This window comes from Homo sapiens, chromosome 20 (assembly GCF_000001405.40).
Source record: "Homo sapiens chromosome 20, GRCh38.p14 Primary Assembly".
Lineage (NCBI taxonomy): Eukaryota > Metazoa > Chordata > Mammalia > Primates > Hominidae > Homo > Homo sapiens.
The window spans coordinates 41,105,202-41,129,014 of NC_000020.11; the positions used below are offsets into that span (position 1 = coordinate 41,105,202).

Sequence of the window (23,813 nt, forward strand, 5' to 3'; positions counted from 1 at the left end):
ATATGTAATTTTACAATATGTAACACACTAGTAACATACTAATTTAAAACTTGTTTTTAGTTTACAATATGTTGTAAACTATTGTAAGCTAAAGACATATTGTACAACCTATTGTAAAATAAAAACAGGTTTTAGTTTTAAATTAGGTATGTTACTGGGATCATTCTGCAACTTGTTTATTCCTCTCCAGCTTTGATTTTGTGGTTTTATTATCTTAACCTACACTTTTAATTAATCCATTTTATTTGTTACATGGTATTCTATTATATCATAAAAACTTATCTATTCTGTTGGTTTTTGTTGTTGGTCATTTGAGACCATGTCTTCGCTCTGTCACCCAGGCTGGAGTACAGTGGCGTGATCTTGGCTCACTGTGACCTCTGCCTCCCGGATTCAAGTGGTTTTGGTGCCTCAGCCTCCTGAGTAGCTGGGATTATAGGCGTGTGCCACCATGCCCAGCTAATTTTTGTATTTTTAATAGAGACGGGATTTCACCATGTTGGCCAGGCTGGTCTTGAACTGACCTCAAGTGATCTGCTCACCTCAGCTGCACAAAGTGCTGGGATTACAGGTGTTAGCCACCATACCCTGCCTCTATTCTCTTGTTAAGAGGCATTTAGCATGGTTATACAGTCTCTTGCCCTCATAAACAGTGCTGGAAGAAACACATGTTTCTTGTGTATATGAATGAAAATTTGTTTTATACATTAGATATTTCCAAATTGTTCTCTTAAGTACTTCAGTTTACATCATTACTCTCCTCCTCCCTCCCCTCCCACCCCCACCCACAACAGTATTCCTCTTTTTCCATATCCTTGCTAATGTTTCTAAAGTTTTGCTTTTTACATTTGGGTCTTAGATCCACTAGAATGTATTTTTGCATTGGGATGAAGTTGAAACCTAATATATTTTCCAAATGAGTAAACTGTTGTCACAGAACTATTTAGTTGTATTACCTCCTCTCTTGTATATCAGATATATCTACATATATGTCAGACTGTTTCTGGGCTGTCTGTCCTCTTTAATTAGTTCGTGTATCTGTTTCTGCATCAGTAGCATACTGTCTTAACTACTGTAGCTTTATAAAGTCTATTGAGTAGGACAAGTTTGTTTCATTCTTCAAAATTGCTTTGGCTATTCTTGGCCCTCTGCTGTTTCATATTAACTTTCAGATAAACTTGTCAAATTCTAATGAAAACTGTTGATAAACTTGTTGATTAACAAATTCTAATAAAAACTGTTGAGATTTTTATTGGAATTGCAATACATTTATAGATTAACGGAGAAAGATATTGACAATACAATTGAGTTTCCAATTCACGAACATGTTATACCTCTCCATTAATTCATGTCTTTTGAATGTATCCACCAATATGGTTTTGTAATTTTCTTCATAAAGGTTTTACATTTAAAAAATTCTTATTTTTAAGTGATCTTATAGTTTTTATTGCTAATGTGAATGAGATTTTTTTCCATTATGTTTCTGTTGGTTATTCCTGAAGTGGTAATGCTTATAATTTTGGGGTGTTGGTCTTGTATCTGGCAGCAGATACAAGAGGTGCTCAGAGTTGTTCAGGGTTGCTGAACTCTTAGTTCTAAAAGTGTCTGTCATTTGGGGTTTCTATGTAGATAATTTAATTATCTATAAAAACAGTTCTTCATTTTCAGTTCATATATTTCATATTTCTTTAAGTTTTAATTTTTATTTTTAAACACAATTATCCATAAAACCCTAACCCTTTCCCTAGTCAACAGCAGTCACAGCCAAATGTTTTATTAATTGCTATACTCAGTGTTTCTTGTATCTCATACCTTCTGGGGTTTCTTGTCTTGTTGAAATACACCCTTTAATGTTTCTTTAGTGAAGACCCAACAGTGGCACTCACTCACCTTTGTTTACCTGAAAATTTCTTTATTTTCATCTTAATTCATAGTCTGTCTTTTCTCCAGTCAAGGAAGTGTCTTATAGGGAAGATTCTGGTTTCACTATGCTGTATCCAGGGATATATATGTATTTATAGATAGACTTTTAATCTGAGGACTAATGTATTTTATCCTACAGTATTACCAATCATTATTTCTTCCATAACTTCTAGACCATTCCTTTTGTACTTCTTTTTTAGAGTCCTATTAGATGAGTGTTGACACTTTTCAATCTAGACATCTTTTTTAAACTATATTTTCATACTCTTTGTCTCTTTAGGTCTGATTTTTTAAGTTCAGGGGAATATTTCATTTTGGGTGAGTTGTAGCACTCACTTCCAATTCACTAATTCTAATTATATTTAATCTACAAGTTATTCCATCTATAATTTATTTCAATTACCACTTTTTGTTTTCAAAATTTCTAATTTTATATCTGATTTTGTTTCATTTTTGTTTTATAATTTCATGTTCTTTCTAGATTTTACATCTTTTTATGCATACTAAACATACTCACTTGAAAGTCTTTGTAAGATTGTTCTATAAAATGTTACCTGAAGTGAATTCATGTGCTAATTACTGTTGGCAGTTTTTCTGAGCCATTTTCCTTGTGTCTTTTGAAATTTCTGTTTGTAAGCCCTTTTAACTGGGAGGTGTTTTTTGCTTATGTACTGTTCTCTTTTCTTTCCCTTCTTCTCCTTCTCTGTTCATTACTTTTTGTCTTGGAGGGAGTCTCTTAGCCCAGCTCAGCCCAAGCTAATAAGGCCCCTGACTTCAAGTCCCCCCTTCTTGCATGGAGCAAGAAGTGATCCTCCTGTCTCAGCCTCCCAAAGTGCTGGGTAGGCGTGAGCCACCACATCCAGCCTAGAGCACTTACATTGCTACATATTTGGAGCAAACATAATTAAAGTATGACTTACTGTGACCCAGCAGTCAATAACAGATATGTTTTTGTAATAGAATGTTGAAGGGTGGTAACTGGTGGTTTTACTTCATGGAGGGCTTTAGGTCGGCTATATGGGAAGCTGCCATCATGATGCTTTTGTTCTACACATTTCTGCTCAGCCTCCAGAGATGTCTCCTATTCTAAGAGTCGTCTTTGTTTACTCTTGTGTCTATATTTTACTTACTTAATTCCCTCACATAATAGTGTATCATTGTATCCCATCTGTGCTCTATCAAGAAATGTAGCACAAGCATGATGTGAACTATGAATTTTCGACAATTTAAAAAATTAAAGGAATCATTCAGGGGTAAAAAGCACAAAGTTGTAGAACAGCTGAAGTGTGTTCTTTTTATGTATCCTGTCTTTGCCCCCTTTCTGGAAACTTGGATTGGCCTACTTGCAGTCACTGTCACAGTTACACTACTTCTAGCCTCAAAGGTCATTGAAAGGATTGGGATTTTTGAGAACCACAATAACACTTGCTCTAGGTACTGAAAAGGTTGTCCTGAACTCATTCATATCTTTTTATGTTCATCCCAGTTTGTTTTTGCTTTTCCCCCCAGGATTTTGATTACACAGACATCTTGCAAGCATATTTCCATTCTTTCTCTCCCACTCTGTGCCTGGTGCCCGTAGGATCTGAAATAGCATTGGAATGACAGCTAGCCTTCTGGAACCTGCAGTTTCAACCAAAGAAACTCTGATTCCAGATAACCCAGGAGTTTCTTATCCTGCATAATCTAGGAGTTTACAAAAAGGCTGCTTATGGGTACTCACTGCTAAGTACAATCCACTGCCAAGTTTGGAAGCATTACCTGCTCTCACAACCCAGGGAAAGTAGCCCTTAGTAAAATTCAGGTTTTTTCAAACCAGCCTTAACCTTACAAACAGAATTTATCATCATGATTTTTCTTTCAAATGCAGTACAGCAAACTTTAGGATCAATGTTGACATCGTATTGCGTTTAGTCCTGTTAAAATACTCTCAGTGCCAAATACACACTTCTGCCTTTTTTCTCTTTAGAGTCTAGAATTCTGTGGGGTTCCAAAAATGTATGTGCTTACAACCTTTTATATGTAACCACCTAGGGATTAAAGGGCTAAATGTGAAGGAAAGTATCTTTACAATATTCATCTTGGGAAGCTCTCATTTTGGTGAGTTCTATTAGAGAAAATAAGACACAAGCTCATTAAAAATATATATATATTCTGAGCCTGGCATCTTGGTATAAAATTCAAAACGTTTTAAATCTATTTATTAGTAAGACTAACATAGACCTAAGTGTGAAGACTAAAATATTAAAGCTTGTAGGTGATATCATGGTTGAATATGACCTTAGAGTAGATTCCTTAGGACAGAAAAACACCAACAAGAGAAACAATTGACTAAATGGACTTCATTAAAATTAAAAATTTATGTTCAACAAAAGACACTGCTAAAATAAATACAGAATTTACAGACTAAAAGAAAATATTTGCAACATGTTTATCTGAAAGGGCTTATATCCAGACTATACAAAGAATTCCTGTAGCTCCATAATAAAAAAACAGACATCCCATCCGCATAATAAAAAGAGCAAAAGACTTGAACATATACTATACAAAAGAAGATACAGGAATGGTCAATAAATAAGCAAATGAAAGAGTGCTCGACATCACTAATTATCAGTGGAGTGAAGATTTAACCACAGGGAGATACGAATTCCAGTTCTAGGTATTTTTACCTCAAGTGAAATAAAAACATTTATCCATGAAAAAACTTGTACAAGAATGTTCATAGCAGTGCTCTATTCATAAGAGTGCAAAACTGGAAACATCCCAGAATAGATAACACATTATGGTATAGTCATAGAATATACTATATTTATCAGCAGTTAAGAAGGGAACTACTTATGTATTCAACAACATGGATGAATCTTAAAAACATGGTTAAGGGCCAGGTGCGGTTGGTGCATGCCTGTAATCCAAGCACTCTGGGAGGCCAAGGCGGGTGGATCACTTCAGGTCAGGAGTTCGAGACCAGCCTGGCCAACATGGCGAAACACCGTCTCTACAAAAAAATACAAAAATTAGCCGAGGGTGGCGCACACCTGTAATCTCAGCTATTCAGGAGGCTGAGACATGGGAATCGCTTGAACCTGAGGGGTAGAGGTTGCACTGAGCCGAGATTGCATCACTGTACTCCAGCCTGGTGACAGAGCGAGACGCTGTCTCAGAGGGAAAAAAAAAAGTTAAAAAGGCAGACAGAGGAGTCTATATTGTATGATTCTATTTATATAATCTAGACTAGGCAAAATTTATCCATGATGATAGTAATCAGATTGAAGGATCAGTGGTTGCTTGGTGGAAATTGACTGAGAAGGGAAATAGTCATGTAAGAATACTGGCAAATGTCCTCTTCCCCATTACAAACGTCTGAGAAAGTTACTAGAAAACAGAATCCAATTTGCCTTCTCACCCCCAACTTTGTAATCTTGAATCCAGATCCTGATTCCACCCAACCACTCTGCTGAATGGATAGCAGCTATATTAGAGAGACAATATAGTGGGCCTACTAGTTTTAAAAAGTCATCCAAAGAATGTCATCTACAATCAGTTAAATTAGATTTTTACCCATTACTGAAGTGTGATTGAATTAGGGAAAGAGGAGAGGTGGTCAAAGGCAGCCTTCTCCAGTGGATTCCTTGTCTTCTTGAGATGGTTTTGTGAGACCTTGCCTGGAAGACCTAGGTGGATAGTTTATTTTCTAAAAGTAGTCAAGAAAGCTTGTTCAGGGCATTGAACACTGCAGGGACAAGCATACTTCTTGGAGGCCAGCCATCTCCTGCTGGATCTAAGCGGGGTGGCTTCTGCCTCCACCTCCATCTCAGCTTATTTGAGAGAATCCTAGATCCTTGGTGCAGAAGCCCAGCCAGCCTGTGAAGAAAAGTTGGTCTGGTAGTATCCTGTGAATGACGTGCGGGTTGGGTTTTTCTAAATCTCGTTTACCTGACTCCTACCTTACATTCCAGTGGTGTGACTAAGGAACTGAGCAAACGTAACCCTAGGGGACTTTGAGACAGGCTTTGGTAGTCCATGTGCACTAGAGTGAGGGGAAAGAGGCCACTCCAGAGTTGGGTACTCTACTGTTGAAGGTGAGCCTTTTGTGTCCAATTTTTCCGTGCATGTGTAAGAACAGTTGTCATGGAGATTTACTACTGACTTGTGCATGAGGACAGCTTATATCTCACCTTTTCTTATTCACCCTGTTAAATGTCAAAATGTACTAAGACTTAGGTATTTTTTCTGTGTCACCAACTACTAAATCACCCACCCATGATAGCAGGTAGTTACTGAAACTCTTGTAGCCAAACAAGTGCATAACACTGGTACACATGATGTGAGAGTGCAGATGACTCCTTAGCTTAACTGTGTAAGCTTTTAATTTCTGAGTACTTTTAGGATTGAGAAGTGGAAGACATTCTTGCTCTAGGTATCTCATGCTTCTGCACACCCAGAAGGCTGGTTGCGCCCCCACCCCACCCCCCGCCCCCTTTTTTTTTTTTTTGATAGGGTCATGCTCTGTTGCCCAGGCTGAAAGGCTGGTTATCTTCACCACAGGTCTTATGTCTCAAGGACCACGGGTCCACGTCATAGTCAGGAACCAGGCATGTGTGGGCAGAAATCACTACCACTTTCCTTTGTTGCGGGTGGGGAAATTAAGAGCAGAGATTCTTGGATTCTTAAATTCCTTCTCTATGTTTATGTCATCTAGTCTGTTTTATGCTGTTTTATGTAATTCCCTGCTTCTGGATTTCTTGAATTTTTTTCCCCTTCTCACTTGTCATAATTGGCTCTTGCTTGTGAGTCTATTTTCATTCAGCTTGGTAGCAGAAGTCTTCTTCACTATTGTTTAGATTCAGTTTTCACATGGTTTTAGTAACCCTTCATTGGGTTTAGAATCAACTTTTAACCCTTCCACCAAAAGCTCTTATTTTTTTAAAGGCTTCCCAGAAACATAGTTTCTCTCAATCTCATCAAGAAATGCTTTTAAATGCAGAAGTTAGAAAATGGTGAATAATTATGGCTGTTCCTGGAAGTCATTGTGTCCTTAGTAATTACATGTTGTAGTCTTTGGTTCTGCTTCTTTGACAGCTCCACCACACTGTAATTTAATGGAATTCACTTAGATTTAATGGAATTCAGTCCTGGTAGAAAACTGCTATTGGGTCACAGAGTTGGCAGCAAGGCTGTGAAATTGATGTGGGAATGGGGGTGATTATGTGCTTTGTGTTGACAGAAGTTAGTTTTTGGGACATCCCATGTGGGTTTTTCCCAGGAACATAAACATTTTAGAGAATTAGAGCTAGAAACTTTCTTCTGGGAAAGCCTTAGAAGTCAGTTGTGCTTGGCAGTGAGATGGGACAATGTGCATTCTTAACAGGTTAAATGTGCCAAACTCTCTCTTCAGTACTATTCTTTTTTACGTTTGCTTAAGGTCAAGTTCCTGCTCTTTTGTTCAAAGTCTTGCTTTGTCACCCATGGTGGAGTGCAGTGGCGTGATCTTGGCTCACTGCAACCTCTGCCTCCTGCGTTCAAGCAATTCTTGTGTCTTAGCCTCCCTATTAGCTAGCTGGGATTATAGGCTTGCGCCACCTTGCCTGGCTATATTCAAAGTCTGTCTTTACTACACTGTCCCAAAGTAATCTACATTTGGGTTTGGGTCTTTACAGGGTGAGAAGGACTGGCAGAAATACGAGACTGCTCGGCGGCTGAAAAAATGTGTGGACAAGATCCGGAACCAGTATCGAGAAGACTGGAAGTCCAAAGAGATGAAAGTCCGGCAGAGAGCTGTAGCCCTGTACTTCATCGACAAGGTGAGAGCATCTTCCCATCGGCATTGTCTAGTGTTGAGCTTAACAAAGGGAGTTTCTGCTCTGCCCCAGGCCCTGTGCCACATACTGTATATCACAACTCAACATACATATATTTGTATGTAAAACTGAATCAAAAGTTGCACAAAACAATGCTTAGCCTTACTGTGAGCAGTAGATTCTGATCTTTTTTTAACTCTATTTCATTCCTTTAGAAAGTTGGTTATAACTTATAAAATTGTTTAAATAAACCATGCAGGTATCACCATTATATAGTTTTAAAGACCACGCTCTAGAGGAGATCAATTTCTTGGTACTCACGAGAAGAAAAAAAAGTTCATGTTTTTCCCCCAGTCTTGTATTTTAACATAAGTTCTGAATTGTCTCAAAATTCACACTAGCTTTTTGAGTTTGATTGCCCAGAGTAGCAGCACTCCCTCATTTGCTGCCTTATTTAATTTTTTTTTTCCTTTTCTCCATCCCTATTTCAGAGGACAGAATAGAAAGAAAAGGAGCATGAATATTTAACATCCCTATAGATTTCATAGTGAGTGGGGGAGGAAGTAACACTGCAGAATCCAGAGTTCCCAGGCCATGCTGACTGATGCTGTGGCTTCAAACAGAATTGGGAGGCTTCTGTTTTGGATGCCTAGAAATTGCATAAGGGTCAAAAGGCTGGGCGCAGTGGCTCACGCCTGTAATCCCAGCACTTTGGGAGGCCAAGGCAGGTGGAACACGAGGTCAAGAGACCATCCTGGCCAATGTGGTGAAACCCCATCTCTACTAAAAATACAAAAAAAAAAAAAAAAATAAAAATTGGCGTGGTGGCGGGCGCCTGTAGTCCCAGCTACTTCGGAGGCTGAGGCAGGAGAATGGCATGAACCCGGGAGACGGAGCTTGCAGTGAGCCAAAATTGCGCCATTGCACTCTAGCCTGGCGACAGAGCGAGACTGTCTCAAAAAAAAAAAAAAAAAAAACACAGAACGAAATTGTGTAAGGATCATGTCTCTTCCATTCATGCTCATCTTTTCTTTCTTTCCTGGGCAGCTTGCTCTGAGAGCAGGCAATGAAAAGGAGGAAGGAGAAACAGCGGACACTGTGGGCTGCTGCTCACTTCGTGTGGAGCACATCAATCTACACCCAGAGTTGGATGGTCAGGAATATGTGGTAGAGTTTGACTTCCTCGGGAAGGACTCCATCAGATACTATAACAAGGTCCCTGTTGAGAAACGAGTAAGTTAATGTACCTGTACTGTCTGACTTGTTTTCCATTATTCAACAAGCATGGGTTGACTGCTTTTTTGTGTGCTTTGCACTTTGCTGGGCACCAGCAAAAGTGACTTGAGACAGGCAACATGGCACATGCCTGTAGACCCAGCTATTCAGAAGGCTGAGACAGGAGGATCACTGGAGACCAAAAGTTTGAGGCTGTAGTGTGCTGTGATCACACCTGTGAATAGCCACTGTACTCCAGCCTGGGCAAAATAGTGAGACCTTGCCTCTCATATTAAAATAAATAAAAATAAATGACTTGAAAGAGGGGAGAGGTATTATTTGATATCTTGTGTACCTCCTTTTAGTCACTGTTCCGCCCTGTGCTACCTTCCTGGTAAGGAGTGGCCTTCTCCTATAGCAGTATTCAATGGAGCATGCTGTAGAATAGGCCCTTAGAGCAAACTCAGCATATGATTTAACTATATCTTAGTATCCCCTGGTCATGTGGTACATTTGTCACTTTTCATCTTTGCTCAGCCTTTCTCCAACTCCTGACTGAGTGAAAGGTTAATGTTAGTCCCCAGATCTCTGAGCCCATCACTGAAGAGGGTACTATAGCTCTGTAGTCCCAACCTAATCTTTTCCATAGTATTGGGCTTGAACCAGAGACTTACAGTGTGCAGGATCCTAATAATCCAGCCCACCAGCAGTCCTCTTCTTATAAAGACACCTCTTCTCATAAGGACACCATAATCAGTAATCAGGTTTTGCTGGCTGTGGAAGTACTCTGGACAGATTAGATAACAGTATGTATCAATGTAAATTTTTGAAGCTGATACTGTGTAAATGTAAGGGAATATCTATTTTTAGAACATACACACTGAAATGTTTAGGACCATATTATAAGTAAGTACTTATAAATGTACTTTAGGACCATATTATAAGTAAGTACTTATAAATGTACTTTAGGACCATATTATAAGTAAGTGCTTATAAATGGCTCAGAACAAACAATTATGTATATATATCTGTAAATATACACATGGAGAGAGTGAGCATACATGCACACTGTGCAAATGATGAATGGGGTAAAATGTTAACAGTGAATCTCGGTGACGGATGTATGCGTGTTCCTTGTGCCTTTTTCTTTGCAAGTTTCTTTAAGTTTGGGGTTATTTCTAAAGTTAGGATTTTTTTCAAGAGTAATAATTAGGATTCACTTATATCTTTTAGGTTTTTAAGAACCTACAACTATTTATGGAGAACAAGCAGCCCGAGGATGATCTTTTTGATAGACTCAATGTGAGTAGATGAAGCACACAATGTTGAAGGGAGTCCCAGCCAGAGCCTCACAGTACCTAAAGGGGAGGGTTGCTGGCAGATGACTTGGGCTCTCCCTTTAGCCTGGCCTGCTCTGTGGCATCCCATACACTCTCTCTTCCTCCCTCTGAGTCCACGGTGAATCTGTAGTCAAGAGAAGACACATCTGCTGCAGAACAACTGCTAAAGCACTCAGGGTGGGGGGTAGATGAGCCCTACCTTTTATCCTTCCCTGCTCCTGCAGAGCTTTCCCTTCACTGAATGCCCAGCCACCCCTGCTGGAGACCCAAAACCTGTCCCTGATATCTTAATAGGGAAGGAAAAATTTGCTTTATTGGTTTGTTAAGCCCACCAACCTGGGCCAGGCTTGGTGGCTTACGCCTGTTATCCCAGCACTTTGAGAGGTCAAGTAGGGCAGATCCCTTGAGGTCAGGAGTTTGAGACCAGCCTGGGCAACATGGCAAAACCATTATCCAGGTGTGGTAGTCCACACCTGTAGTCCCAGCTGCTTAGGAGCCTCAGAAGGATTGCATGAGCCCGGGAGGTGGAGGCAGCAGTGAACCGAGATTGTACCACTGCACTCCAGGCTGGGTGTCAGAGTGAGACCCTGTCATACACACACACAAAGATTGAAATACTTCATAGAGAGGCATCATGTAACCCTGTATTCTGGAATTCTTTTCCTCTTTCCCTAACTTCCCACTTGTAGGGCAATAAACTTGACAAGATTGTGACTGCACTGGCATAAATTACTCCTAGGGCTGCCAGAAGGAGCAGGTAGTATAGCTTTGACCTAAATCTGTTGCTTTGTCTCCTCCAGACTGGTATTCTGAATAAGCATCTTCAGGATCTCATGGAGGGCTTGACAGCCAAGGTATTCCGTACATACAATGCCTCCATCACGCTACAGCAGCAGCTAAAAGAACTGACAGCCCGTAAGTATTGCTTGGCCAGATAGGGCCCACACCCCTACTAATGGTATCCGGTGACCTTGCTTATCTAAGGCCTAGAGTCAGTTCTACTTTTTTTCCCTACCATTGTGGTCAGACACTTTTTCCCTTTAGACCTCTAGTAGCGAGATAATGCTTTGTTGTATAAACATAGGATCAATGCTGTTTCCCCCTTCCCACCCCAACTTCAAGATTAATTTCATGGAATGCTGACAGCTTTTCACCTGCTACAAAAATGCCTGCATTTGTGTTTTATACATATATTACTTAAAAGCCCACAGAGTGAAGACAGTGCTGTGATGTTCTGTTAAATTGGAGAGAGTAAAGTTGTCATGGTTACCAGAAAAATACAGGAACAAGTCCTTTCCTTGAGGTTTCTGTCATTTTTTTCCCATAAGAGAGTAGATACTTTCTATAGCTGATTTTTAGAATATTATCACCAAGATCCACGGGCTTTTTTTTTCCTGGAGCCCAGTCACTATTGAATTTCCACTGCCCTCTGTAAATACATCAGATGGCCTTAGAATATGAACCAGAAAAGCCAGAGGTAGGTATGTTGAGGGTCAGTATTTTAAGGTGGTATAAAGAATGCCACACTATACAAATAAAAACAATTTTTTTGGATGGCATTTTTAATTTTTCTTTTTAAATAAGATACTACCAGGCCATGTGCAGTGGCTCACACCTGTAATCCCAACACTTGGGTAGCCGAGGCAGGAGAATCACTTGAACCCAGGAGTTCCAGACCAGCCTGGGCAATGTAGTGAGACCTTGTCTCTACTAAAATTTCTAAAAATTAGGCAGGTGTGGCGGTGTGCACCTGTCATCCCAGCTACCTGGGAGGCTGAGCCCAGGAGTTTAGGGCTGTAATGAGCTACGACCATACCACCGCACTCCAGCTTGGGTGACAGGGTGAGACGCTATCTCTAAAATAATAATAATAACCATAATAATACTACCAACTGTGGCTTAATTTTTTTTTTTTTTTTTTTTTTTTTGAGACGGAGTCTTGCTGTCACCCAGGTTGGAGTGCAGTGGCGCGATCTCGGCTCACTGCAAGCTCCGCCTCCTGGGGTTCACGCCATTCTCCTGCCTCAGCCTCCCGAGTAGCTGGGACTACAGGTGCCCGCCATGTCGCCCGGCTAATTTTTTGTATTTTTAGTAGAGACAGGGTTCACCGTGTTAGCCAGGATGGTCTCGATCTCCTGACCTTGTGATCCGCCCGCCTCGGCCTCCCAAAGTGCTGGGATTACAGGTGTGAGCCACCGCGCCCGGCCAAAATTTTTAAACTTTTAACGTCCCTTCAATTCCTCGTTCTGTTCTGGCTACATTGGGTGGAGAGGTGGGGAGGTAGGAAGTGGCCAGTATAGAACTTATGAATATGGGCAACAAACCATAGTAATATCAGCAGCACCTATGATGAGCATATGGGTGGGGAGGAAGCAAGGAGATGAAGGGTCCCTAGCCAAGTTCCCTGAGTAAAAAGAAAGGTGTAGATTTTATTATATTACCTAGACTCAGAGTTCCTCTTGTGATAGGAATTTACCCAGGCCAAGCTTACATATAAACTTCCTACTATCATTTTCTTAAGACTGTTGACTCAAATTTTGACCTTAGTCCTTGGGGGCAATTTGAATTAATCATCTGAGTAAGATAAGAGCCAGCAAAATCATGGGGACGAGGCACTGGGGGAAGACATACTGTGTGTTCACTTTTGGTGTACAAACTGACCCTCTTGCTACCATGTTCCTTTCTTTACAGCGGATGAGAACATCCCAGCGAAGATCCTTTCTTATAACCGTGCCAATCGAGCTGTTGCAATTCTTTGTAACCATCAGAGGGCACCACCAAAAACTTTTGAGAAGTCTATGATGAACTTGCAAACTAAGGTATCTTGGATAAAATGAAGGGAACTGTGTCTGCTGTGGGCAGATTATCTGCGAATGAGAGGATTCAGGGCTGAGATATCAGCAGGCCAGTGCTGGGTCTGTTGTAGAAGGTCTATGCTAAAGATAAACAAATGGAAATATGATAGTAGTTAATCTCTGATCAAGATACTGAATATCAGAGTATCCATTATTCAAGAAATCTTTATTCTACGCATAGAAGTTCTATACTGGCCACTCCCTATTTTGAAAAACTAACTTTGGTGTACATTCTAATTGCTAATTACTGTCCTTATTGTACATGAGGAAAGTGGATTTAAAGAGAGTCTTCATAATTCCTTGCTACAGCCCAGAAATACAGCCATTTCCAAATTAGATTGTTTCAAATTGAAAAGATGATGAAACAATTATATATTTAAAGTCTTTCAAATCCTAGCATAGCTATTTTTATTTTTACGCATTCCACATGAATCATATTTTTATATAGTTCATCATCAAACATCTGTTGAATACTGGCCGTGTGCCAGACAACTTGCTGCCCTAAAGGGAAAGACTGGTGTGCAAATAGGTGCTATTCCTTGTCCCTGAGCCTCTTTCCTCCTCCTAACTCCGCCTGGTACTGAGCTTTTAAACCATAAGGCACTTAACATTTGATGATGAACATTTTTGTGTTAGCAGTGACTTCATAACTAATTCATCCTAACATGGTGGTCCACAGTGAGAATTTGCAGATATTTCATTATAGAACAGATACACAGGGTTAAAAAGGAAACAAATTATATTGAAATACAGTTATCAAAATACATTTTAAAGTCCGATAATAGATGTGCTTCCTTATTAAGGTCTTGAGGTGGCCTGTAGTAAATTTCAAGGTAGTAATTAATTAATATCAATGATACTTTAAGATTTCTGCAGCAATTCAAATATGAAATGAAGATGTCTAACATCTATTGATGATAAAGTCATAAGTGCTGCTGCTATTACTATGGTTTGTTCCCCATATTCATAACTGAAGAAGAAATACTAAATTTCAGCTAGAAGCTGGGTGCAGTGGCTCACACCTGTAATCTCAGCATTTTGGGAGGTTGAGGTGGGAGAATCACTTGAGCTGAGTAATTCAAGACCAACCTGGGCAACATAGTGAGACCCTGTCTGTATTAAAAATTTAAAAATAAATATAAATAAGTTCCAAAAAGAGGTTATTGAAATTATAGATTTTTTCTCATCCAAGTTCATGGAATTCTATACTTGTACAACTGGAGTTTAAGAACTACTACTGTGGAATGAGACTGCATTTTAAGGCCCAGAATATTTTCCATTTGTTGAGATTTCCTTAAGATAAGTACCCATGAGTAATATAGCTGGTTCAAAAGGTACACACAACTTATAATTTATGCTACAGATGCCATCTGGCTTTCTTGAAGAGACGTACATGTCCACAGTGAATGAGTATACATCCATAGACCTTTGATTCCTTGGATCATATGATTGGCAGGCAAAGAACTCTATAGACGGCCCATCCTAGCAGCTCACATTTGCTGCCACTCTGTTAAATGCTGGTCATCTGGAATTGTTTATTCTCCTCATGTTATCATTACAAGCCAGAAATAAAAGCATGAATATTCAGGTGCTGTTTACCTAATTCAGGAAAACCCCTCCCAGGAGCATGAGGAGGTCTTTTGTTGCTCTCGCTCTGGAACCGGGTTTGGGCAGCCCAGGCTGCCTGCCAGATGAGCCCTCCAAACCCAGGATTCCTCTCCTGTGTGCCCACAAAGCAAACACACGCCCCTGTTTGCCAAGTGAATCAATGGAGTCTTTGATGCTTTGAGAGAATTTGACATAGCCTGCCAATTTAGCATTCACAGAAATGGTTAAAAGATCATGGTTTGCTACATTTCTATCCTAAAAAGAATCTGGCTAGTGGTGTCTGTGATGCTTTTGTATATAGAATCAGTCCCCTCAGTTTGGCTTTGGACAACATAGATGTTGGAAGTAAGCCATTCATAGTAAAACATATTTAGTGATCCTCTCACAATGGTGGCCTCTGTTTCCAATCTTGGGCTGTGTGTATCTAACAACAAACAATTCCAGGTTCAGTGAGCAGCCCAGTGTGTGTCAGACATGTTATTTACTCCGTAGAGGTTGTCTTCACCTCACATAGATGACCATAGGTATGGGGTTCTCCTGCCCTCTGAGTAGCGTGAGCTCAGTGACAGGGGCTCTAGCTCCATGTTGTTATCCACTGCTGTCTCTAAGCAGGAATCTGAGAAGAACTTAGATTCACCAGGGGTGCTTCAAAGATTCTAACAAGCAAGAAAGGCTGAAACTGCCCTTGTCTCTTCCCTTATAGATATGGATTCCATGAGAGTTCACATGGGGAAAAAAGCTCCACAGCTAAAAGTGTTTTCACATCCATTGAGTGACAACTAAGGTCCTTCCCACCTCAGACTTCTCTCCTTTTTTTTTGAGACGGAGTCTCGCTCTGTTGCCCAGGCTGGAGTGCAGGGGCATGATCTCGGCTCACTGCAAGCTCTGCCTCCCGGGTTCATGCCATTCTACTGCCTCAGCCTCCCGAGTAGCTGGGACTACAGGCACCCACCACCACGCCTGGCTAATTTTTTGTATTTTTAGTAGAGACGGGGTTTCACCGTGTTAGCCAGGATGGTCTTGATCTCCTGACCTTGTGATCCGCCCTCCTCAGCCTCCCCAAAGTGCTGGGATTACAGGCGTGAGACACCGCGCCTGGTGACCGCTCTCCTTTTAAAAACAGAATGCCAAAGCTAAGCCCTGCCATGTCCTGGTTTGGGACAGACTGGCTGAGCTGTTTGGCTTCCTGGGTGTCTTTTAATTGCCAGTTTGTAGCCCCTTGAGTACTCTCTTCAGTGCATCCATTTTCCTTGAGAAGCTGGCACCGCCTTCCCAGAGTACTGGTGGGATCTGAGGAACGAGCTGGGGTTGCCCAGTAGATGCAAGTATCCTGCTTCAGTTTCCTAAAGAGGAGCTCCTACAGTGTTCTTAGAATGAAAGCTAAGAACTGGCACAGGATCTATTTGATAAACAGCTGTCATTTGTAGCCATCCTCCCAGATGTATGACAGCAGAGTGTTCTCTGATGGAAAGATCAGCACCCAGATTCCCAGCCCCAGCGGGTTCCTTTCCCTGAGCCCCTAGGTTACTGCCCTGTAAAACCCTTGTTTCTTTCCAGATCACTGAAGAACAAATAGTTGAATTCACTAGTCCTTGTGCATCTTCTCCCTGCCTTCATGAAGCCACCCTTGTTTTTTTTTATCTGACAAACCACTGACAGAGACAGCCTGGTCCAGATAACATCTTGGTTTCACCTTCTCAGGTGGAGCCATTTTTCCTCTACAGCTCATAACCTTACCACTATTATTTCCCCTAGATTGATGCCAAGAAGGAACAGCTAGCAGATGCCCGGAGAGACCTGAAAAGTGCTAAGGCTGATGCCAAGGTCATGAAGGATGCAAAGACGAAGAAGTATGTACCTGGTATTGTGAAAGTTGGGGCTGGTAGAGAAAAGTGTGCAGCATCTGTCAGGGCCCCTGGGGCCCTGGCTTTTCGATGGTTTCTGAGAAATGTCTTTTGGAAATCTCTATACTAGGGCTTTTATTGACTCAAAGTGGCAGGATGGGTACAGTGTGCTCTTGTCTAGAGCCCAGGCCTGGTTCTTGAGGACTTTGCTATTCTTCTAGGGTAGTAGAGTCAAAGAAGAAGGCTGTTCAGAGACTGGAGGAACAGTTGATGAAGCTGGAAGTTCAAGCCACAGACCGAGAGGAAAATAAACAGATTGCCCTGGGAACCTCCAAACTCAATTATCTGGACCCTAGGATCACAGTGGCTTGGTAAGTGTTGAGCCCTCCTTGAGCTCCTGCTGCTAGCTTAAGAAAGGTGGAGGGGGTTCCGAGAGCACTGGTGGCCTTCACATGCCATTCCTAAGCTACACACTTTAGTCCTCTGGGGAAACTTCTGGCTTCAGCTGTGTACAAGTTACTCTGGTTGCTGAACCTTGTCTGTAAATGCATTGCAACATTCTGGTTGCTCCTAAATGGTCAGTGCTGTTACACTGCCTTGTAGTGTATATTTTTAAGAGGCAGGTGCCATCCCTATTCCTAATGGAACTTTAGGACAGGAATGGAAACTCTTAGCTTCTGGAAGAATAGGAAAGAGCCCATCCATCTCTACACTTCAACAAAACTTTTCGTTGAATTTTTTTGCAGTTGAAGGTAGGAACAAGAGATAAAGATGAGAATACAGATCTGAGCAACTTACACAGAGAGGCAGAGGGACCTTTAACAAAAGCAGATAAATACTAGGTTTCTCTGTGTGTCACACACAGTGTCACATAACATCTGAAACAAGTGGCTTTGTTATGGAAGATGTTTAGTTTGAGCTGTTAAGTTCTGAGCATAGGTGGAGATATCCTCCCCTATGGCACTTGCTAGTCCGGGCTAAAGTTTCCATCTAGGTCTTTTGTACCTCTTTCTGCTCGTTTTGCCTTGTTTGGTGCTAGAGATTTGGTTAGCTCTTAAAAGGCAATATAGTATAGTGGTTAAGAACATGGAGAAAAACTGCTTGGGTTCAAATTTCAGGTCACTTACCAGCTAGCTGTGTGAGAAAATCAGTAAATTACCTAACGTCTCTGCCTCAGTTTCATCTGTACGTTTTTCACTTGTACATCTGCAGAAGCACCTACTTTAGAGATCACTGCCAAGATTAAATGAGTTGATCACATAAAACCTTTAGAACATGCTTGGTGCACTATTAATTTGCATCCTCACTAGACAGATGTGAAAGAGAAGATGGAACATCTGACCCTGGGCCTCAGATATGGGCCATTGCTGAGTCACCCTAATCCCCCCCTTATTTCTCCTTTGTTTGCAGGTGCAAGAAGTGGGGTGTCCCAATTGAGAAGATTTACAACAAAACCCAGCGGGAGAAGTTTGCCTGGGCCATTGACATGGCTGATGAAGACTATGAGTTTTAGCCAGTCTCAAGAGGCAGAGTTCTGTGAAGAGGAACAGTGTGGTTTGGGAAAGATGGATAAACTGAGCCTCACTTGCCCTCGTGCCTGGGGGAGAGAGGCAGCAAGTCTTAACAAACCAACATCTTTGCGAAAAGATAAACCTGGAGATATTATAAGGGAGAGCTGAGCCAGTTGTCCTATGGACAACTTATTTAAAAATATTTCAGATATCAAAATTCTAGCTGTATGATTTGTTTTGAATTTTGTTTTTATTTTCAAGAGGGCAAGTGGATGGGAATTTGTCAGCGTTCTACCAGGCAAATTCACTGTTTCACTGAAATGTTTGGATTCTCTTAGCTACTGTATGCAAAGTCCGATTATATTGGTGCGTTTTTACAGTTAGGGTTTTGCAATAACTTCTATATTTTAATAGAAATAAATTCCTAAACTCCCTTCCCTCTCTCCCATTTCAGGAATTTAAAATTAAGTAGAACAAAAAACCCAGCGCACCTGTTAGAGTCGTCACTCTCTATTGTCATGGGGATCAATTTTCATTAAACTTGAAGCAGTCGTGGCTTTGGCAGTGTTTTGGTTCAGACACCTGTTCACAGAAAAAGCATGATGGGAAAATATTTCCTGACTTGAGTGTTCCTTTTTAAATGTGAATTTTTATTTCTTTTTAATTATTTTAAAATATTTAAACCTTTTTCTTGATCTTAAAGATCGTGTAGATTGGGGTTGGGGAGGGATGAAGGGCGAGTGAATCTAAGGATAATGAAATAATCAGTGACTGAAACCATTTTCCCATCATCCTTTGTTCTGAGCATTCGCTGTACCCTTTAAGATATCCATCTTTTTCTTTTTAACCCTAATCTTTCACTTGAAAGATTTTATTGTATAAAAAGTTTCACAGGTCAATAAACTTAGAGGAAAATGAGTATTTGGTCCAAAAAAAGGAAAAATAATCAAGATTTTAGGGCTTTTATTTTTTCTTTTGTAATTGTGTAAAAAATGGAAAAAAACATAAAAAGCAGAATTTTAATGTGAAGACATTTTTTGCTATAATCATTAGTTTTAGAGGCATTGTTAGTTTAGTGTGTGTGCAGAGTCCATTTCCCACATCTTTCCTCAAGTATCTTCTATTTTTATCATGAATTCCCTTTTAATCAACTGTAGGTTATTTAAAATAAATTCCTACAACTTAATGGAAACTTAAGTGTCTGCCTCTTTGTTACAAAGGGCCTCAGGCCAGAGTTGGGGCTGGGACTTAGTGTGGGATGAGGTCTCACCACTCAGGTCAGCAAGAGTAGATTCCTCCCAGGAGCAGATGAGGCAGGGCCTGGCCTGGAAAGGAGTGTTGTGTGCCTGTCCTGCTGCTGTGGGTGTGGGTTAAAGAGGATCCAAAGTCCATATCCTTAGATAAAAGACAGGAAAGGAAGGAAGGGTGCAAAAAATCCACAGTAAGAGGTGTGGTGCAAAGACAGCATCGGAGGCCTAGCGTAGGTAAAGTATATTGAGCAGGATGTTGCAGCTGTATTTGAGTCAAAAGTTTTGGAGAGCTTTCCATGTGTACTGGCCAGAAGCAGAAGGGAGCTGCTTTAGGTTTTTTCACGTGGCTAAGCTTACAATCAGGATGGGGAGAATTAAGGTTCCAGATCCCAGAAGCCCCTTCCCACATGGGATGCAAACTTCTCCCTGCATTGACTGCTTAATTGAAAAAGGCAGTGTGGTGTGGTCTCTGACCACTTTCTGGTGCTCCAGTTACCCTAGCTGGCTATGGTCTCTACAAAAATTGTTCCTTTGCTCATCCTAAATTATAGGTAAGTCTGGAATTCAGAATGAAAGTGAGGTCTCTGTCTAGGTCAAATGGACTGCAGGGAGCAGGAAGGCCAGAAGGGTCAAAATTGGTAAATTAATGGAAGGGCCCTGGGCCCTCTAGCTTGTTAGCACGAGCAGGTAGGTGTCTTCGGGGAGGCGAACCCATAGTCTCTGTTCTCCCTGAGGCTGGAGGCAGGGCTGGTACTAGGCCCACAACAGAGAATCCTGGAGGTCCTTGGCAGCCTGTATTTTTATTAACCAGTGAAAGAGGCAGCATTCACCCCAGGGAATAAGGGAGGTTATGTAGCCATCACTGCTTTGGAGCAGAGAGACTCCAGCCAGGTGTTTTTGAATTCTGTGTTGAGGTAGCTGGGCCACTGAATGTAGGGAATACAACAGAGAGGCTCTTTTGGTACCCATTTGATACACTGTGGCTGGTAGGTAAGTAGGTTGGTGTAAGTGGACCTCAGATGCCACAGCTAGGGGACAACCTTTGGTCCAAAACTAGAAGTCAGGTAAGGAGGCCTTGCAGGCAGAAGACCTTGCTGATGAACAGGAAGTAATGCCTACCTCTCTGGCAAGGACCTCTCTTGCAAGTCTGAGGGCAGATGCTGGGCAACAAGATGCTGCTCAACACAACTAAGAAGGGCATCCCAGACAGTGGCAGCAGGCCTGGGAGACCAAAGCCAGAGAATGGGAAGCTGACCTGGCCACTGGGGATGAAAGAAGAGGCTGAACAGGTAAGTGGGGGCCAGATGTAAAGGACCTTGAAGGATGCTTAACCCAGGAGTCAAGAATAAACTTATCCACTTGCCTAGTCCAGTAGGTTTTACTTCCAGCCACGTCCAAGAACAGGCCAGATGGGCAGGGTCTGAGAAACTCCCTCCCATCAGGCCTTTCTATGATGCCCGAGTTCGGTGTGGGCAAAGGGCTTCCACGTGCTACCCAAGCCAGATATCTCTGTGCTGACTTGGCTTTTCTCCTCTCTTACCTCACCTTCATCTCCCATCCCCCAAATCTGGCCAGCAAGTCCTGTCTCTCCATTCTCCCTGCCAAAAGCTGTCAAATTTCAGACCTCTGCTACATTAAAACATGAAAAGTAAAAAACCTTCACAACCCTCAGCCCTTTCCAGCCACTACCTTTCCCTTTTTTCCCAAACAAGCACCTGCAATAAGTCATCACCATCCAGTCATTCCCCCACCCACTGCAACTAGCTTCTGTCCCATGAGCCCACAATTCCTTCTCTTCACTCTGACCAATGTCGCCAATGACTAGATAACCAAACCAATACATGGGCTCTCCATTCTGCGTCTTAGAGTCTTTGTGGCACTGGACACTGTTGACCACTCCTTCCATCATTTTGAGGGTACGATGATTTTTAGCAACTTTGCTGAGTGGTGCAACTATTAACCATGTCAGTTTTAGAACATTTTCATCTCCCTGTAAGATCCCTTATGCTCATTTACAGTTAATCCACATTCCCACTCCCGGCCTCCACTAACCTTTCTAAATTTGCATTCTGAACATTTCATGTAAATGGAATCATTCAATAGGTGACCACTACCTTCTCTCTGATTTTCACAATGCCACCCTCTCCTGGTTTTACTCCTGTCCCTATCAGGCTTTTTCTGAGTCACCTTTTCTATCAGGTCCTAAGTGCCATGATTCTTACTTCAGCATAGCTGATTTCATTTGCACCTAAAGGTGATGACTTCTCTTTCTCTCTAGCCTAGAGCCCTTTTCTAAGCTCCAGACTCACATTATCAACTACACCTCTGCAGGGCATGTCTACGGGCACCTCAATCTCAGCGTCTCTAGAACTGAGCTCAGTACCCACCACCCCAAGCCTGTTGGGCCTGGGCTTCACATCTCAGGGAAAGGCACCAGATCCTCTGTCCCCCAACCCAGAAACTAGGGTAGCCACCATCCTTCACTCCTCTCGTTTCCACACCCAGTAAATTACTCCAAAATCATCTCCTCAATACCATAAAATTTATTTTCTGAAAAAATTTTACTCCTTAGAAATTCTTCAAATAATGAGACACTATCAACTTGTTTTGAACCAAAAAGCACTTTTTAGAGAAAACACATTACCCTGAAATGACCTCAGTCAGGCCAGTTTTGGATGCTTATAAGTAGTCCCCTGACAAAAATCAGTAAACAAGGAGACAAAGAAATTTAACACAGACTTAGTAATTTTCACAATCCCAAGAATTCCATTCAGACAAGCCTCTTAGAAATCACTAAATAGCAAAGACTTTTTTAGATTTTATAATTGTACTGTGTGTGTGTGTGTGTGTGTGTGTGTGTGTGTGTGTATACACACACAATTTTTTTTTTTTTTTTTTGAGACGGAGTCTAGCTCTGTCACCCAGGCTGGAGTGCAGTGGCGAAATCCTGGCTCACTGCAACCTCTGCCGCCTGGGTTCAAACCATTCTCCTGTCTCAGCCTCCTGCCACCACGCCCAGCTAATTTTTGTATTTTTCGTAGAGATGGGGTTTCACCATGTTGGCCAGGCTGGTCTCGAACTCCTGACCTCATGATCTTCCCGCCTCAGCCTCCCAAAGTGCTGGGATTACAGGCGTGAGCCACCGTGTCTGGCCCACACAAATGTTTTTAAAGGAGTCTTTTAGGCCAGGAGCAGTTAGCTCATGCCTGTAATCCCAGCAGTTTGGGAGACCAAGGCAGAAAGATCACTTGAGCCTCGGAGCCCAAGGCTGCAGTGAGCTATGACTGTAACTGCATTCCAGCTTAGGTGACAGTGAGATTCTATCTATACACACACACACCACACAGTCTTTTAGAAAAATTGAGATAGTAATGGATAATAAGAGTTGAGGTTTGGGTCAAAATAATATGGGAGGGGTTAGTGGGTAGAATTTGGCATGAAACAAAAGTGGCCACCAATTCATTATTGAAGCTAGATGATGGGTATGTCGGCATTCACTATACTATACACGTAGACACATTTGAGATTTTTCTTTTTTTTTAATTTTATTATTATTATACTTTAAGTTTTAGGGTACATGTGCACAATGTGCAGGTTAGTTACATATGTATACATGTGCCATGCTGGTGTGCTGCACCCATTAACTCGTCATTTAGCATTAGGTATATCTCCTAAAGCTATCCCTCCCCCCTCCCCCCACCCCACAACAGTCCCCAGAGTGTGATGTTCCCCTTCCTGTGTCCATGTGTTCTCATTGTTCAATTCCCACCTATGAGTGAGAATATGCGGTGTTTGGTTTTTTGTTCTTGCGATAGTTTACTGAGAATGATGATTTCCAGTTTCATCCATGTCCCTACAAAGGACATGAACTCATCATTTTTTATGGCTGCATAGTATTCCATGGTGTATATGTGCCACATTTTCTTAATCCAGTCTATCATTGTTGGACATTTGGCTTGGTTCCAAGTCTTTGCTATTGTGAATAGTGCCACAATAAACAAACGTGTGCATGTGTCTTTATAGCAGCATGATTTATAGTCCTTTGGGTATATACCCAGTAATGGGATGGCTGGGTCAAATGGTATTTCTAGCTCTAGATCCCTGAGGAATCACCACACTGACTTCCACAATGGTTGAACTAGTTTACAGTCCCACCAACAGTGTAAAAGTGTTCCTATTTCTCCACATCCTCTCCAGCACCTGTTGTTTCCTGACTTTTTAATGATTGCCATTCTAACTGGTGTGAGATGGTATCTCATTGTGGTTTTGATTTACATTTCTCCGATGGTCAGTGATGGTGAGCATTTTTTCATGTGTTTTTTGGCTGCATAAATGTCTTCTTTTGAGAAGTGTCTGTTCATGTCCTTTGCCCACTTTTTGATGGGGTTGTTTGTTTTTTTCTTGTAAATTTGTTTAAGTGCTTTGTAGATTCTGGATATTAGCCCTTTGTCAGATGAGTAGGTTGTGAA

General features: G+C 41.5%; 1 protein-coding gene and 1 long non-coding RNA gene across 2 annotated transcripts in view, besides 1 other annotated feature; one reads left to right on the top strand and one right to left on the bottom strand.

The window, feature by feature from the left end:
* The window catches only part of TOP1 (DNA topoisomerase I), a 95,666-nt gene extending 76,380 nt beyond the window's left edge, over window positions 1-19,286 (top strand). The window contains exons 14-21 of the mRNA NM_003286.4: window positions 7,581-7,724; window positions 8,769-8,954; window positions 10,170-10,238; window positions 11,077-11,191; window positions 12,968-13,095; window positions 16,495-16,589; window positions 16,805-16,954; window positions 17,994-19,286. Of these exons, the coding sequence (NP_003277.1) occupies window positions 7,581-7,724; window positions 8,769-8,954; window positions 10,170-10,238; window positions 11,077-11,191; window positions 12,968-13,095; window positions 16,495-16,589; window positions 16,805-16,954; window positions 17,994-18,096 (990 nt within the window). The 3' untranslated portion in view covers window positions 18,097-19,286. The remainder of the gene's footprint in view (window positions 1-7,580; window positions 7,725-8,768; window positions 8,955-10,169; window positions 10,239-11,076; window positions 11,192-12,967; window positions 13,096-16,494; window positions 16,590-16,804; window positions 16,955-17,993) is intronic.
* Window positions 1-23,813, bottom strand: part of PLCG1-AS1 (PLCG1 antisense RNA 1) — a 40,007-nt gene that overhangs the window by 7,208 nt on the left and 8,986 nt on the right. The window lies entirely within an intron of this gene.
* Window positions 6,196-6,275: a silencer, noted in NCBI's record as "silent region_12913". NCBI's record gives its function as "represses an Ori minimal core promoter by ATAC-STARR-seq in GM12878 lymphoblastoid cells {active_cell/tissue: GM12878}" and the evidence as "EXISTENCE:reporter gene assay evidence [ECO:0000049][PMID:35858748]".